The sequence below is a fragment of the Homo sapiens genome, chromosome 4 (assembly GCF_000001405.40).
Source record: "Homo sapiens chromosome 4, GRCh38.p14 Primary Assembly".
Classification (NCBI taxonomy): Eukaryota; Metazoa; Chordata; class Mammalia; order Primates; family Hominidae; genus Homo; species Homo sapiens.
In genome coordinates, this window is record NC_000004.12 from 78,406,012 (window position 1) to 78,422,925 (window position 16,914).

At 40.4% G+C, this 16,914-nt stretch overlaps 1 protein-coding gene across 2 annotated transcripts in view; it reads left to right on the plus strand.

Moving 5' to 3' along the window:
• Window positions 1-16,914, plus strand: part of FRAS1 (Fraser extracellular matrix complex subunit 1) — a 486,947-nt gene that overhangs the window by 348,689 nt on the left and 121,344 nt on the right. For both annotated transcript variants that reach the window (NM_025074.7, NM_001166133.2), the window contains exons 31-34: window positions 1,652-1,830; window positions 6,958-7,074; window positions 12,938-13,052; window positions 15,852-15,989. In NM_025074.7, coding sequence (NP_079350.5) covers window positions 1,652-1,830; window positions 6,958-7,074; window positions 12,938-13,052; window positions 15,852-15,989 — 549 coding nt within the window. The remainder of the gene's footprint in view (window positions 1-1,651; window positions 1,831-6,957; window positions 7,075-12,937; window positions 13,053-15,851; window positions 15,990-16,914) is intronic.

The following is a 16,914-nucleotide window of genomic DNA, read 5'->3' on the forward strand; positions in this document are numbered from 1 at the left end:
TGGTGATGGTGGTGTTTAGATTTAGATTTCCTTGCCTCAGTTCCAATAAAGTTTAAAGAATGAAGGAGGAGAAAACATGATAAGTTATTTAGCAGTGTAAATACTGGTACATGTTCACAAAATAATGATGATTGGTAACAGAGCTTCATGACCAGCTTCATGATCAGATTCAAATCCCAGCTCATCAACTTAACATTTGTGTAACTTCTAACGTTATTAAACTCTGAACCTGAAGACCTTCATCTGTAAAATGAAGACAATAATGGCATCATTCAGAATAATTAAATAGAATTAATAGAAGTGTATTAGTCTGTTTTCACACTGCTGATAAAGGCATACCTAAGACTGGGAAGAGAAAGAGGTTTAATTGGACTCACAGTTCCACATGGCTGGGGAGGCCTCAGAATCATGGCAGGAGGAGAAAGGCACTTCTTACATGGCAGCAGCAAGAGAAAATGAGGAAGAGGCAAAAGCGGAAACCCCTGATAAACCCATCAGATCTCGTGAGACTTATTTATTATCAGGAGAATAGCATGGGAAAGACCGGCCCCTATGATTCAATTACCTTCCCCTGGGTCCCTTCTACAATATGTGGGAATTCTTGGAGATACAATTCAAGTTGAGATTTGGGTAGGGACACAGCCAAACTATGTCAAGAAAGATGATCTTTAAGCACCTGTAAAGCATATACTATTATTTTCTTTTTACGAATGAGGAATGAAGGCTTATGGAGCTTAAGGAAGCTCACTCAGCTGGAAACAATGGAGCTGGGTTTGAATCACCACATAGGGTATAGTGGGGTGCCTGCCGTATGTCTTCCACTGTTAGCTATTACAAGTTGAGCATCCCTAATCCAAAAATCTGAAATCTGAAATGCTCCAAAATCCATAACGTTGAAAGCACTGACATGATGCCACAAGTGGAAAATTCTACCCTGACCTCACGTGAAAGGTTACAGCCAAAACTTGTTTCATGCACAAAATTTATTTTTAAACATTATATAAAATTACCTTCAGGCTATGTGTGTAAAGTGTATATAAAACATAAATGAGTTTCATGTTTAGACTTGGGTCCTGAATCCAAGATATCTCATTATGTATATGCAAATATTCAAAAATAGAAATCTGAAACACTTCTGGTCCTAAGAATTTCAGATAAGAGAAATTGAACCTGTATTACTATCATTGGACAGAATTCTCTCATGAAAATTTTCCACTGAATTGTTTCTAATTTCCCATTATGTTTTCAGCAAAAACTTCCTGGCTGGAAAACATTTTCTGTTACATAGAAAGTTGTGCATAGAAATGAATCCATTCAATGCCCAGTATTTGAGTATTTGTCTATAGTATTTGCTACTATCTGGCTCTCCTTATGTAATTTTTAATAGATAATAAGTCAGTAACTTCATACATGAATTGTCCTTGAATGACTTTTAGTTCTTTTAGCAGAAAGCCTGAGAATTTTGTTTCTAAAGGTGGATTCAATACTGTCCATTGAATTATGTGTTAACATCCTCTCCTTCACCTTAGACAAAAATAAAGAAGTACATCATTTCTTTCTAGTTAAAAAAAAAATGAGTAGTAGGAAAGGAGGTAAGGGCTCTGACTTTTCCTAGGGACCCTCACTAACTATGTGGCCTGTGCCTTCCTAGGGGAGGTGGTCCTTCTAGTGAATATGCCTGCAGACAGCCCTGCAGATGAAGGGCAGCACCTGCCTGATGGGAGGACAGCTACCCCCACCAGCACCTTCACCCAGCAGGACATCAATGAAGGCATCGTATGGTACAGGCACTCAGGAGCCCCAGCCCAGAGCGACTCCTTCCGCTTCGAGGTACCCTCTGCTTCCTGACTTTTCTGAAGTCTGATGAATCCAATAATCCAATCGCTCTTATTTATAATCAACTTGAGTAATTTTCTGCAGTTGACAGGAAATCACATTTGGGGGACGTGTTAGTTCATTTTCATGCTACTGATAAAGACATACCCGAGACTGGGTAATTTACACAGAAAAAGAGGTTTAATGGACTCACAGTTCCATGTGGCTGGAGAGGCCTCACAATCACAGTGGAAAGCGAAAGACATGTCTTACATGGTGGGAGGCAAGAGAGAATGAGAGCCAAGTGAAAAGGGAAACTTCTTATAAACCATAAGATCTTGTGAGACTTACTCACTACCATGAGAACAGTATGGGGGAAACTGCCCCCGTGATTGTTGTCTCCCACCGGGTCCCTCCAACACATGGGAATTATGGGAGCTATGATTCAAGACGAGAATTGGATGGGGACACTGATATGGATTCCATATCAGTGGAATTCCCTACAAAATATAATTCATAGCATTAGGAGTTTTTTTAATTTGTCAGTTCAGATATATGTGTATCTTTACAAGCAGAGTTATCCACAACCAAGATGTTTAGGTTAGATAATGGCCAAAGTGTTCAGAAGAAAAGTCTTTAAAATATAAAAATACTATATGGAGAAAAAAAAATCTTACCTTCTAGTTTTGAATGTTCTTGGAACACTTACTATCTTGTGATAAGATCATGGGCCTATAGCCAAACTCAACATGTTTAGGTGTCAGTTCTGCCACTTACTAGCTACACAACTTTGGGCAAATTACTTGAGAAAAACTTCTGTGCTTCATTTTCCTTGTCTGTCAAATAGGATTATTGTGATGATTTAATGAGTTAATACAGATAGAGTACTTCGAATACTGCATATCAGATAGGTAGCATTATATAAGGGTTTGTTATTACCATTTATAAAAATTGGTCAAATACCAGACCATAAGGAGACCTTCAGTAGATTAAAGGACAAGAAGTATACTGCATAGGCTGGGCATAGTGGCTCACACTTGTAATCTCAACACCTCGGGAGGCCAAGGCAGGCAGATTGCGTCAGTCCAGGAGTTTGAGACCAGCTTGGGCAACATGGTGAAACCCTGTCTCGCAAAAAATACAAAAATTAGCTGGGCATGGTGGCAGCTAGGCGGGAGGATCACTTGAGCCTGGGAGGTGGAGGATCACTTGAGCCTGGGAGGTGGAGGCTGCACTGAGCCATGATCACGCCACTGCACTCTAGCCTGGATGACAGAGCGAGACCCTCTCTCAAAAAAAAAAAAAAAAAGACAAAAAGAAAACAAAAGAAAAATTATACTGCATATGTTCTCTGGCTATTATAAATATAATTATAAATTATAAATTAATAATAAAAGGATAAACAAAAATTCAGGCCACTTGGAATATTTTAAATGGTCTCTTAAATAATTACTAGGAAATTCTTTAAAGAAAGTCAAAACAGCAAACACTTAAGAAATATTGATGAGGAGGAAATAACCTATCAAAACTTAAATCATATGGACAAAATTGTACTCAGAAGAAAATTGATGGCCTTAAGCTCTTATTATTGAGCAAGAAAGCATTAAAATACGTGGACAAAATATTTAACTCAAGAAGCCAGAGAACCGCAAGGGAAACCTAAGGAAAGCAAAAGGAAGGAATTAGTAGAGATAAGCAGAGGAATTGGTTAATTATAAAATGCTAGAAATGATGAACAAATACAAAACCTGATTCTTTGAAGATCAATAAAATTAGGCAGACCTCTGGCGAGCATGATTTGGAAATAAAGAATCATACAGAAATACAAAAGAATAAGGAATTATGAATAAGAAAGGGTGTTTAAGCACAGATACCAAGAAGAATTTGGTAAAGTGTCAGAGAAAATATCTATGTTTATGGGGATCAGCCAAAGCGGTGTCAGGGCCTCTCAAAGTCTGAGTCTTTTCCTTTGTCTAGGAATCCAGGTGGGGCTGAACTCACCCAGCTCACCTTGTTAAAATGATCATCCATTCTGCTTCTGATGCCTGGCATGTACATCTTCATCGCCTGACTAATTTATATTGTGTAAAAGATGTGCTTTTCCAGAGAGCGGGTTGAGATAAATTTGGAAACCATTAAAATGAGATTATCCTGAGCACACTGAATTTCCAATGAGTGAGCAAACATTGGGTGCCCTTTGCCCAAGTTAACTTTTCATTTTTAGCACCTGGGGATTGCAGCAGTCATCAAAGAATGAGTCAGAATGAAGGCAAAGACCTCAATCAAAAGAAGTCACCTCTGCAAACTAGAATCCTCAGATCTGCCTTTGCCTTCGTAGGGTGAGGAAGGAGAATGTTATCAATATGGAGCACTTCCCTGGAAGGGGAATCTAAGTAGCTGCTCAAAATAATATTTGATTGCTTTTGTAATTTGGTTACTGAGTAAATAAGGCAAATAAAGATTTAAAAATAATAAAAAATACTTTATGATTATTATTATTATTAAAAAGACTACCCTGTCCATTGGAGTTATTTGGCACTTTCATTGAAAACAAATTGGCCATATATGGAAAAAAATAAAAAATAAAAATAAATAAATAAAAAATAAAATAACAAAAAATAATGATTTAAAAAAAACTCACTGGATGAAGACATCCAGTTGAATGAACATTATTACTTACAAAGTGGTTCCCTTTACAGAGTCTTCACACATTTTGCTCAAAATGTGTTTAGAACTCCTGTGTGAAATTGCCTTCAAAGTGAGATATTCTTTAGAATGTCCTCCATAGTGGCAGTGTATCATCTTTTGGAAGTGGATTAAAAAATATAGCTAAATAGTCAAAAGTCAGACTAAGGTCTGGTGAGAAAAACAGTGGTGATTATTTTGGGTTAAAGTGGGGAGTAATTATGGAATAATGGGCTCAGAGTTCCTATGTGATTTGTAAACTTTGTCTGAAGGCATTCCAAAAATGCATTTTGAACACTGACAGCATCTTTGTTGCAAATATGAAACAACTCTCTGGGATTATGTTCTCCTGATGTAAAAGTTTTGGCATGTTTATTCTAAAGTCTCATTGTTTTATAGGCATACCTAATATTTTGATTTGAAATGAGATAGACACTAGAGCTAGGTGCTAACGTAAGTGGTTAGCAAATTTTCCCATTCATCATTTTAGTGTCCCTAAAGGATTTCAAACTTTAAACAAATCCTTTTCTAATAATTCTTTTCCTTTTTTCTTTTTTTTCTTTAAAGCAGGAAATGCAGTATAATGAGTTGCATGGATTTTTTTTCTTTTTTTTTCTGAGACAGAGTTTCACTCAGTTGCCCAGGCTGGAGTACAGTGGTGCGATCTTGGCTCACTGCAACCTCCACCTCCCAGGTTCAAGCAGTTCTCCTACCTCAGCCTCCCGAGTAGCTGGGATTATAGGTGCCCGCCACCATGCCCAGCTAATTTTTTGTATTTTTAGTAGAGACAGGATTTCACCATGTTGGCCAGGCTGGTCTCGAACTCCTGACATCAAGTGATCCGCCCACCTCGGCCTCCCAAAGTGCTGGGATTACAGGCGTGAGCCACCCCGTCCAGCCGAGTTGCATGGATTTAATGCCATTTTAATGTTGATGTGCTGTCATGAGCCATCAGTGGCTCCCATCTGTTACTTTGCATCTAAGATTTGGGACATATGTAATGCCAGTGGGATTAGAAAATAGAGCATGGCATAGTGCAAAGAAAGCATGCACATTCAGAGTCATTTTTTGGTGTGGGAAGGAGCCCTGGTTTGGGTATATTCAGGTCACTTTGACACAGCCTTAGGAAATGTGGTTCAAAACAGACCAACACATCTCCCATCAGTGTCTTTACTAGATTGATTCACTTGCTCAGTAATATGACCACATTTCACTACCTATTCAATGTTTGGTTCTTTTTCTTCAAAAGATAGAATATATTCCGCCACCGCACCCCTCCGCCACCCCTTTTCTAATTTCCTAAAGCTACCAAAGTGAGTCATCTTGGTCAGTGGAATGATCATAAACCTGACTGATCTGGTTAAATACTGCCACTTGTTGGCTTTGTGACTTTGACACATTGCTTAAATTTTCTGACATTCAGTTTCCTCACCTGTAAAAAAGGGGATAATAATATCTACTCTGTGGATACTAAGTAAGAGAACCCTTGAAAAGTAGCTAATGCAGTGCTGAGCCCATAATAGATGATGAGTGAATTATAGTTATTGTTGGTAAGATAATTTACAGTGATGCTATATCTCCTTAAAAACGTGTATTTTGAGACTCGATCCCAGGCATCTGATGTGATCAAGATAAAGACAGAGAAGACAGGCTTTCTGTTGGAGTAACTTTTAAAGACATAGGGAAAGGGCTGCTATCCCTGCCTCTTTTTCTCAGAATTGATAGAACTCAGCCGCCTGCCATATGGAATTAATGCAACTCCACATGTCACACATGGCTTAGCAAACAATGGAGAGAAAGAAGGTTTAAGAGGGTGGTCCAGTAACTGATGAGGAGGGAGAAGCTGCATAGAAAAAGCAACATTCTTCAGGTTTTTGCAGCAGGAAAAAGTTGATTTTGTGACCATTACAGTAATTGTGAATGTTACTAATCTTGCCCTGCAATGATGAGGCTGAGATTTATTACTTACCTATCACTTACCTGTGCTGGTTAAAAATGAAAGAAATGGAATACAAATCATATTACATACTCATAATAAGACATTATATAGTTCTCAAAAATTATGTTTTCTAGCATGTTTCATGATACAGCAAACTATCATAGTATTGTAAGTAAAAAATTATAATATGTAATTGATATGTGTGCATATAAAATAAGTTAAATATCAACATATGAATATTCACTATTTCTAGATAGTGAAATTCTAGATGATTTTTTATTGCTTATTTATGCTTTCCTGCATTTTCAACTTTGCTTAAAATGAAATCAGTAAAAGATCAATATTAAAATATGAATCAGTAAAAGATCAATATTAAAATATGAAGGGCAGAATGAGAGTTGTAACGCAGGAGCATATAGAATTCAAAGACAGCTGGCTTAAAAGAGGGAAAAACCCACGTACTAACATGCTCTGCTCAATAGAAGATGAGAGGCTCACCAGGATGACTTTCTTTTCAGGTGTCCAGTGCCTCCAATGCCCAGACCCGCCTGGAGAGCCACATGTTCAACATCGCGATCTTACCACAGACACCTGAAGCACCTAAAGTGTCTCTGGAAGCATCTCTCCATATGACTGTGAGTTGGGTGGGAGGCTTGTGGTTTCCACTTAGAGGAGGCACACAGCACGCTGATGGGATTTGATAGAGTGTCCTGGTTTTGTATATAGTAAGTGCCTGGCCCAGATCACAGACTTGGGGGCCAAAAAGCCTAGTGGTCACATTTCTCATTGACTTGAAAAAGGAACTTAAAATTCCCAGAGTGAAAGGAAGGTTATGCGGAATCCGTATTGACCTCCCATCCATCGCTGATGTCCTTTCTACAGTATTCCAGATGTTCCAGGGGTCCTCCTTGAAAATTTGGAGGAAATTTCAGGCTTATGTCCATGAAATCAATATTTGGGTATCATTGGTCCCCCAGTTATGGCACCACCTAGCAGAGAAATTATTATTCCATCTTCTAGAAGCCCTATGAGAAGCTTTCCACTGTAAAAGTTTCCTAGAGAAGGTTCTGTCAATGCTGAATCCAGAAAGATAAATAGCAGTTATCCAAGTGAAAATCTGGGGACACATTGGGAGGAATGGAGAGGTGATGACAAAGGGCACTGCCACAAGTGAAAAGAGCACATGGAAAGACCCACAGGTGAGAGAGAATAGAACTGTTGCTAAATTGCAAACAGTTCAACAAGACTGGAGAAATCAGGAAGGCAGCAAGGATGTGTGATGAGGATAAGGAGGTCATCAAGCTATCACAGAAAGCCTCGTATGCTGGTGGGAAGGAGTGTGGGTCATGGGAAAATGTGAAGCAAGGTGTCAACTAAATTGGTACATGAAGCTTAGTTGAGACAATTAGCAACTCCTCCGTGACCCTCTGTCTGGGGAGGGGAGAGGGTGAGTGCTGTAATGCCAAAACCCCTCTTCCAGACAGAGCCGCAAGCATATAAGACCTTGTAAATTAATCATCATGGGTCCACATTTTAGTTAGCACCCACACAATTACACTCCAAAGTACTGTATCAGCCTTGAGCCACAACAAAGAGAATAGCTATAGTTTTAGAAATTATGGGTCTGGGTTATGACAGAGACATAAAGGGGAAAATAGAAAGTTTTTAATGAATAGCTGGTATCGGCATTTCCACCATAAACCGTAATTTAAAGAAATCATAATTCAGCAGCCCTATAAAGTCTGTAATTCATCATTCTGACTGGAGGAACTTGGATCAGAATTTTCTCTAAACTGTTAAGAAAAATGTGCACACACAGGTCTTGCCAAATGCTAATGCAGTGTTATTTTGAGTTTGGAGGAAATAATGGGCCAGGAGCCAGGAAGACAGTGCTGTTTCCTGTGCTGTCACTGTGGACCTCTGAAGAGACTTTTCAAGTCACTTAGCCTTTAGGCGCTTAGGTTGCATACTTGCGAATTAGGTCTGTCCAGTTAAAACTTAGGTTAGTTTACTGTTAAATGTGATTAGTCTACTCGTACGTTACTTAAAATATACAGTTTATATATTTTTTGATACTAATTAGGGCCATTATGATAGGACATACTTGTGATCTGTAATAAAAATGCATTCTCAATTTAGTCATTTAGTCTCATCTAATAACATAAGTTTTGCAGATATTTGGTAAATATATTGTGAATGCATATGGTAAATAACTATATGGCATATTTAGTATACTTGTATATGTGATTAAAGGTAGGAATCTACTTCTCCATTCATTCAGTCTCTCATTCATAAACACTTTTGAGCTCCTAATGTATGTTAAGTGCTGTGGAAGACATTGGAGAGTCAATGACCATAAAACACAGTCTTTATTCTCAAGGAACTTTGAGTTTAAAAGAGGAGACAAGCAAATAAATAAGCAGGGATAATACAATAATAAATGCCATGGCAGAGCAATGATATGGGAGCAAATGGGAGGGCACCAAATCCAGCAGAGCATGAGAGAGGGTCACAGAAGCTTCCTCTGGGGGTGAACAGAGCTGGGTGAGTGTAAATTATCTAGAGATCAGGGTTCTCAAACTTAATCCTATACTAGAATCACTATAGAGTTGATGAAAACACAGATTGCGCTCACCCACTTCCTACTCCTTCCCTCTGAGTCCCCAAAGTCCATTGTATCATTCTTATGCCTTTGCATCCTCATAGCTTAGCTCCCACTTATGAGTGAGAACATACAATGTTTGGTTTTCCATTCCTGAATTACTTCACTTAGAATAATAGGTGAGGGATAAAAGACTACAAATTGAGTTCAGTGCATACTGCTTTGGTGATGGGTGCACCAAAATCTCACGCATCACAACTAAGGAACTTACTCATGTAACCAAATACCATCTGTTCCCCCCAAAAATCTATGGAAATAAAAAATTAAAAAAATTAAAAATTAAAAAAATAAAACACAGATTGCTGGAACCTACCACAGTGTTTTCTAATTCAGTGGATCTGGTGTAGGGTCAAGAATTTGCATTTCTAAAGAGTTTCCAGGTAATGCTGTTTGCTGCTTCCCAGATCACCACACTTGAAGAACCATTGATCCAGACTAAACTGGGGGGAATGTATCCCAGTCTTGAGGAGCAACAGGTGAAAAAAGGTGGAGACATGGGAGAACACGACATATTTGAAGCATTACAGGTTGTTCAGTTGGCTGGAGCATAAAATCTGTTAAGTGAAAACGCAGTAAGAAATGAGAGTCAGATCATGGAAGACCTTAAGTATAAGATAAGAATTTCCATTTTGTCCTGAAAGGCTTTTGAGGCAAATAAGGTGTTGAGGGATTTGTAGCAAAGAAGTGCCATGATCAGATTTTTAATGATACATTTAGGAAGATCATTCTGGCTACAGGGTAGAAAACATCCTAGATGGGGGCCAGTCAGAAAACAAACAGGCTATTGCAGTCATCTAGAGCAAGAACAATTAGTGGCATGAGCCCATGGTTAAGAGTTCAGGAGATCTTGAAGATATTTGCACATGCATGTTCATTGTAGCATTATTCACAATAGCCAAGATGTGGAAGCAATCTAAATGTCTATCAGCAGAGAAATGGATAAAGAAAATGTGATACAGACGTACACACACAGAGAGAGAGGAATATTATTCAACCTTACAAAAGAAGGAAATCCTGTCACAGGCTACAACATAGATGAATGTTTAAGACATTATGATAAGTAAAATAAGCCAGTCACAAAGGAACAAAAACTGCATGATTCTGCTTATATAAGATATAAAGTAGAATGTAGTCAAAAGAAGTAGAAAGTAGAATGGTAGTTACCAGGGGTAGAGTGCGTGATGTGATGAGAGAGGGAGAAAGGGGGAGTTGTTCAATGGATATAGAATTTCAGCTTTGCAAGGTGGGAGAGTTCTAGAGATCCATTGCACAACTGTATGCATATAGTCAACACTACAGAGCTGTACACTGAAAAAATAGTTATGATGGTTAAAAAAAAAAAGAGGGATACATTAAGAGAGACTTAGAGACACAGTGGCTTCCTAGATATGGGAGGCGGGTGAAACACCCAGTGTCTGAGGATATAGAGGTACCATTCCTCAAGATCAGGAATGTACAAGGACTTTTGGTGGGAAGCATGACAAGTTGAGTCTGGGATATGCTGGTGAAGGGTGTGCTGGAGCAGAGTGAGTGAATTCACAGATGTGATAAGTGTGTGGGCTGGGGCAGGTCACGCAGCATTTCATAGGTCATTGTAGGAACTTAGCTTTTCTTCTGATTAAAATGGGAAGACATTGCAGGGTGTTGAGCAGAGGCCTCATGTCCTTGTGAAAGGATCACACTGGCTGTTGTGCTGAAAGGGAGTGTAGGGGAGGCAAGAGAGCAATTGGGAGGCCACTGGGTTAATCCTGGGGAGAGACTGTGGCCCTCAGCAGAGTGGTGGCAGTGGGGTGGGCGAAACAGTTGGACTCTGGATATATTCAGAGGTAACATGGCCATTATGAAAAGAATTATTCTGTAATCTTCTTTTGTTGACAGATATACTATTTTTAAAGTGTCTTTTGCAATGATTTCTATGAAGTTTAATCTCTCATTTCTTACTATGTTTAATTGATAAATATTGAACATTCTAAGTAGCTAATATTAAAATTGATTATACTTTGATATATCTCAAACTCAATATTGCTTTCCTCATGGAATCAGTCCTTTTTATATGTAGTATCTATTTCTATTAGGAGAAAAATAGTATCAATAAATTTCAAAATAGACTGTTATCTTGGCTGGAACATATTTCCCTTCCCACAGTGCCATGTCCACAATAATTCCCTCTTTTTATCACTTTATTATTTTAAGGACATCTAGATTTTCAGAATATCGCATGGTACTCTGAGAATGTTCAGTTATTATGATAGTTTTGATATTAAAAGGTAGCAAACAGTACCAAACAAGGTACAGAGCCTATACTTTTTTGTCTGTTAGTTGTACCCACATGTGTACATGTTTATAGGTGTGTACAAACATGTATTGGAAAGTAACACCTTATATAGGGCATATAGTTTTAATTTGTTGTCCTTACTTGTTTTATATTAGGGTGAGAGACCAGCTGCTATTCGCAATTCTAATTTTCCTTGCTCATTACATTCCAGACCTGAGCAAGGGCCTGAAATATGACTCTTTACTATAGGGGGATTGTTCTAACCTGCAAATTCTGCCTCTCCCCAGGACAAATACGCCTTGGGGACAATTACAAAGCAACTGCAACCTACAATCTTTTCATGGTTAAAGGAAGAACACCACACCCTCCTCTATGAGCATTACTGAGCCCTGCTTAATCCCTTTCTAAATGAGGAGATTCCATCTGAAAGAAGGAGGGCTTCAAAGAGCAGGAGAGCATGTCACACTCTAACCCACCTTCAGGGGTCAGTTAGGAAGAGCCCATGATGAGCTGGATGTTTTTGTTCTGTTTTACAACAGCATGCCTGACCCAGGCGAGGGGCCCCAGCTCAGGCTAGTTTCCCTTTTCTCCTCTCCACACTGTTTTTGCTGCTGTCCCCAACCCACCACCATGCCTAGCAATGGGAGTCTGAAGCTCTCCTTTTTGTTTTTTAAGTGTTGCCACTGTTAGTGAGTTATGGATGTACACAGGGGAAGGGATAGTAAAAGCTACATTCGCATCAGCCGTCTGATTAACATTGCCTCATTCATTCACTGGGTCCTGAAAGCTGGAAGAGAAAAAGCAGTATCTAGTTCTTTTGACCAGTAGAATGGAGAAAAAGGGAAATACTGGCTATTGTATGTGCTTTAATAAACAAATACCTCTTAAACCTCTGAATGCAAATGGTGAGCCTTTTTTGGTGTTTGGGGTGGGTTCACTTTTAGCCCTTTGTTACCAGAAGGCATCACAGTTTCCATTAGCAAAACTGGGGACCTGGGGGACAATGCTCTGAAGAACTTCTTGGGGCGGAGACTTCAATATCTCAGCTGAGTCCTTAGAACTTCTAGCCAGATTCAACTTAGCCCATTAAGTCAGAGGAGCAGCAGTGAGCTATGACCACTGCACTCCAGCCTGTGACAGAGCCAGACCCTGTCTCTTAAAGAAAATAAAAAGTTAGAGGAGAGACACAATGAGCCAGCTGTGAGTAGCAAGATAGTAGAATAGCCAGCTGGGATGCCTCATTTGCAAACGTGTTCCACCTAGGAAAAAAGTAATAGCAGAATCCCAACCGCGTGCACTGGCGTAACCCTGCGGGCAGTTGGGGGAGAGGAGACTAGAGTACAAGAAAATCTGAAAAGGACTCTCTAAACCTAGGAGGGGAGGCTTAGGAAAAATCTGCAATGCAAGAGACCAGATCCTTCTTTTGAACTCTCGAAAATTTGACTAAGTGTGACTAATTTAAAAGCCCAGAGCAATTTTTTTTTCTTAATAAGGTCTGTTTTTGCCTCTGGCTTTTGTTTTTCATACCATGTGTTCCTCTTCCTTCTTAAACTTTGTTTAGGCTAGAGAAGATGGCCTGACTGTTATTCAGCCTCATTCCCTCTCCTTCATAAACTCTGAGAAGCCAAGTGGAAAGATTGTCTACAACATCACTCTACCTCTGCATCCAAATCAAGGTAAGATGTGCAGTAAATGATCTTTTGAGTGATATTATTATCTTCTAGTTTTTTACCAGTCTTAATATCTCTGGAGTTTTGTCTGCTTGTATACATAGAGATATTTGTTGAGGTTTCAAGGAATAATGATTATTCATATTTCTCGCTCCTGTCTTCTAGTTTAGAACTAATTGAGAGAGAAAAAGACTATGGTCAGAAGGCAATGAATGTGATGGCTTTGGCACTGACATAGCATAGCATGCTGGATGGAGAATGTACATGCTACTGGGTTGAGCTCCCCTCCCATGTACTGGCAGAACTGGACACATAGCCATTGTCTCTGTAGGATCAGAGCCTGCCCTAGTAAGGTTATGACAGGAGAAAGGACAAAAATGAGCATATGTTCAGGATAAGGAGTTCTGCCAGGGAGCCCAAAGAGGGCTGAGCCACACATATTCAGTTCCTTCCCCGATTGGATACATTACTCCTCCTCCTATCTGGGAACATGAGAATGTAGAACTATAGTCAGAGGAGATTTGGGGCCCTGCCATCAGTCACCAGCCTTTAGATCTCTTGACTTTGGACTTAACTAATAAGCCTATGCCTGTGTTAGTCCATTTTCATATTGGTATAAAGAAATAGCTGAAACTGGGTAATTTATAAAGAAAAGAGGTTTAATTGGCTCATGGTTTCACAGGCTGTACAGGAAGCATGGATGGGGAGGCCTCAGGAAACTTACAATCATGGCGGAAGGTGAAGGGGAAGCAGGTACATCTTACATGGCCAGAGCAGGAGGAAAGCGGGTGGGGGAGATGTCACACACTTTTAAATGACCAGATTTTGTTTAAAATCTCACTCACTCACTCACTCACTATCACCAGGACAGCACCCAGGGGGATGGTGTTAAACCATTAGAGACTGCACCTGTGATCCAGTCACCTCCCACCAGACCCTGCCTCCAACATTGAGGATTACAATTGAACATGAGATTTGGGTGGGGACACAGATCCAAATGGCATCAAGGTCCAGTAGAGGTGCAGCTGCTCCTCACAGAAAGAAGATCAGGTTCTATTAAGATAATTCTGCTCCCACATCTGGGACTGTTCTCCCAAGACTAACCACTGCCCCAAATGTAATCCTGTCACATTATGAAATTCTCAGAGAGAAAAGTCAAAAAATTAAATTCCATTATCCTTTTGACAAAGTCCAAAGAAATTAAAAGTCTAAAAGTCATCCCTCACCTTTGTAATCTGCTAAGTCATAGCTAACGGTTCTCCCTACATTGCCAGAGTCGAGATGGAGCCCTTTCAAACTAGCAGCCTGGGCTGTCTTCTGGAGAATGGTTTTTGCCCTCTCAGCCCTGCAGAAGGTGAATTAGTTCAACATCAAGCCTGACATGTGCCCTCCTTTTAAGGAGTGAATAGGACATGAGAAATGATCACAACATTAGTTCTATACCTGAAAAATTTAGAAACAACAGGCAAATCTGCAGCCCCTACAGCATTTATCACAAGCAGAGTGATAATTACAAATTCAGTTCTTAGAATAATCAAGACCCATGTTACTGTAGCCAAGGATTATTGCAGAGTCTAAGGAGTTTCTGAAGGAAAGAAGTTAGATTGAGAAAAATCTTTTTATAGCCTTACCAGCAGACCAATCTGTGCCAGTTTCTCAAGGACCTTTGAATTGAAACTCAACTGAGAGAATCTCATAATTACATTACCAAGTCTGTGACTTTTGGTAAATTACCTGGTCTAGGCTATGGTAGGGGCAGTAGTATATGCATCTTACTATGTGTATTAGTCAAGGTTCTCTAGAGGGACAGAACTAATAGGACATATATATATATATATATATATATATATATATATATATATATTTATATAAAGGGGAGTTTATTAAGTATTAACTCCCACAATCACAAGGTCCCACAATAGGCCATCTGCAAGCTGAGGAGCAAGGACAGGCAGTTTGACTCCCAAAACTGAAGAGCTTGGAGTCCGATGTTCAAGGGCAGGAAGCATCCAGCACAGGAGAAAGATGTAGGCTAGGAGGCTAAGCCAGTCTAGTCTTTTCATGTTTTTACACCTGCTTTAGTTTTTTAATTTATATATTTATTTTTGAGATGGAGTTTCGCTCTTGTCACCCAGGCTGGAGTGCAGTGGTGCAATCTCAGCTCACTGCAACCTCCACCTCCTGGGTTCAAGGGATTCTCCTGCCTCAGCCTCCCGGGTAGCTGGGATTACGGGTGCGTGCCACCATACCCGGCTAATTTTTGTGTTTTTAGTAGATACAGGGTTTCACCGTGTTGGCCAGGCTGGTCTTGAACTCCTGACCTCAGGTGATCCACCCACCTCAGCCTCCCAAAGTGTTGGGATTATGGGCATGAGCCACCACGCCCAGCCTCCCTGCCTTATATTCTAGCCATGCTGGCAGCTGATTCGATGGTGTCCGCCTAGATTGAGGGTGGGTCTGCCTTTCCCAGCCCACTGACTCAAATATTTATCTCTTTTGGCAACACCCTCACAGACACACCCAGGATCAATACTTTGCATCCTTCAATCCAATCAAGTTGATAGTCAGTATTAACCATCACACTGTGGTTGGTATTTCATGAATCTCAGTCAATACTCATTTGGGTTTCAGATTTGCCCTTTCCTTAAATAACCAGAGAGTGGCATACCAAGAGCAACCTGAGAACAGTCAGTTTCCGAAGAATGTCAGACTCCCACCAACAAGAAGAGCAGGCTCTATGGCTCTAGTCATTCAGTCAGTGATGAGAATTACTGTTGATGCTGAGGCCAAATCTCTTCCTCCCAGGTATCATCGAGCACCGGGACCACCCTCACTCTCCTATCCGGTATTTCACGCAAGAGGATATTAACCAGGGCAAAGTCATGTACCGCCCTCCCCCGGCAGCACCCCACCTCCAGGAGCTCATGGCCTTCTCGTTCGCTGGTAATGCTCTCCTCTCTGCTTTGAGGCACCCAACTGCTCTCTGTGGCTCTACATGACAGGCTCGCCCTAACTCTCCCTGCAGTCCTCTGGACCATTTGGTGCCCCTGCTTTCTAGCTATTCAAAATAGCTTGAGACCTGTCAGCCAATATGTAACTTGAACTCAGTTCCATCTTTTTTTTTTCCATTTATTCATGCATTGAGGCATACTTTCAGTAAATCTTTATTTTGTCCCTCCTATGTGCCAATCACTGAATGAGGCCTTGGAGATACAGTGGCAAGCAAAAAGAGGCATAGATTCTGCTCTTGGTGGTTTAAGGGAGGTATAGAGAGATAATTTGATAAATAACCCCAGGAATGAATATTTAATTGCAGTCTGGGATAAGAGCTCTGAGGAAGAGGGAGAAAGATTAGCGGTGGAATTACACATAATCAGACTGACCTAGACTGAGAGCTCAGTAAAGATACTGGCAGTGGAGGGATGGGTAGAAGCTGACGAGGAAAAGTGTATGTATTTGGATGGTCAGGAAAATGTCCCTGAAGGAAGAGCACTAGCTCCAGGTACAGAGGCCTGGGGAAGGAGAGAATGTGTCCTTGTGTCTGAAATGTGAAGGGTCAGGCAGAGCAGGGATGCATCTGGTGGGAGAGACAGAGGCCATACCTGACAGACCCTCGAAGCCTGTAAGGATTTGGGTTGTTATCCCAACATCAAGAGGAACCCAGTGGAAGTTTTCAGGTATAGGGAACTAGGGAATGGCTTTTCAAAAGAAACTCTTTGACTGCAGTGATGTCAATGGACTTGATGAGGAGGCCAGAGTGGATGGCACTAGGGTAAGGGGAGGCCAGTGAGGGTCCTGCAGTACCTCAGGGAAGGTTTCATGTAGCCATGGGCATGCAGGCAACCTTTTAGGATAAAACCAGAATTTG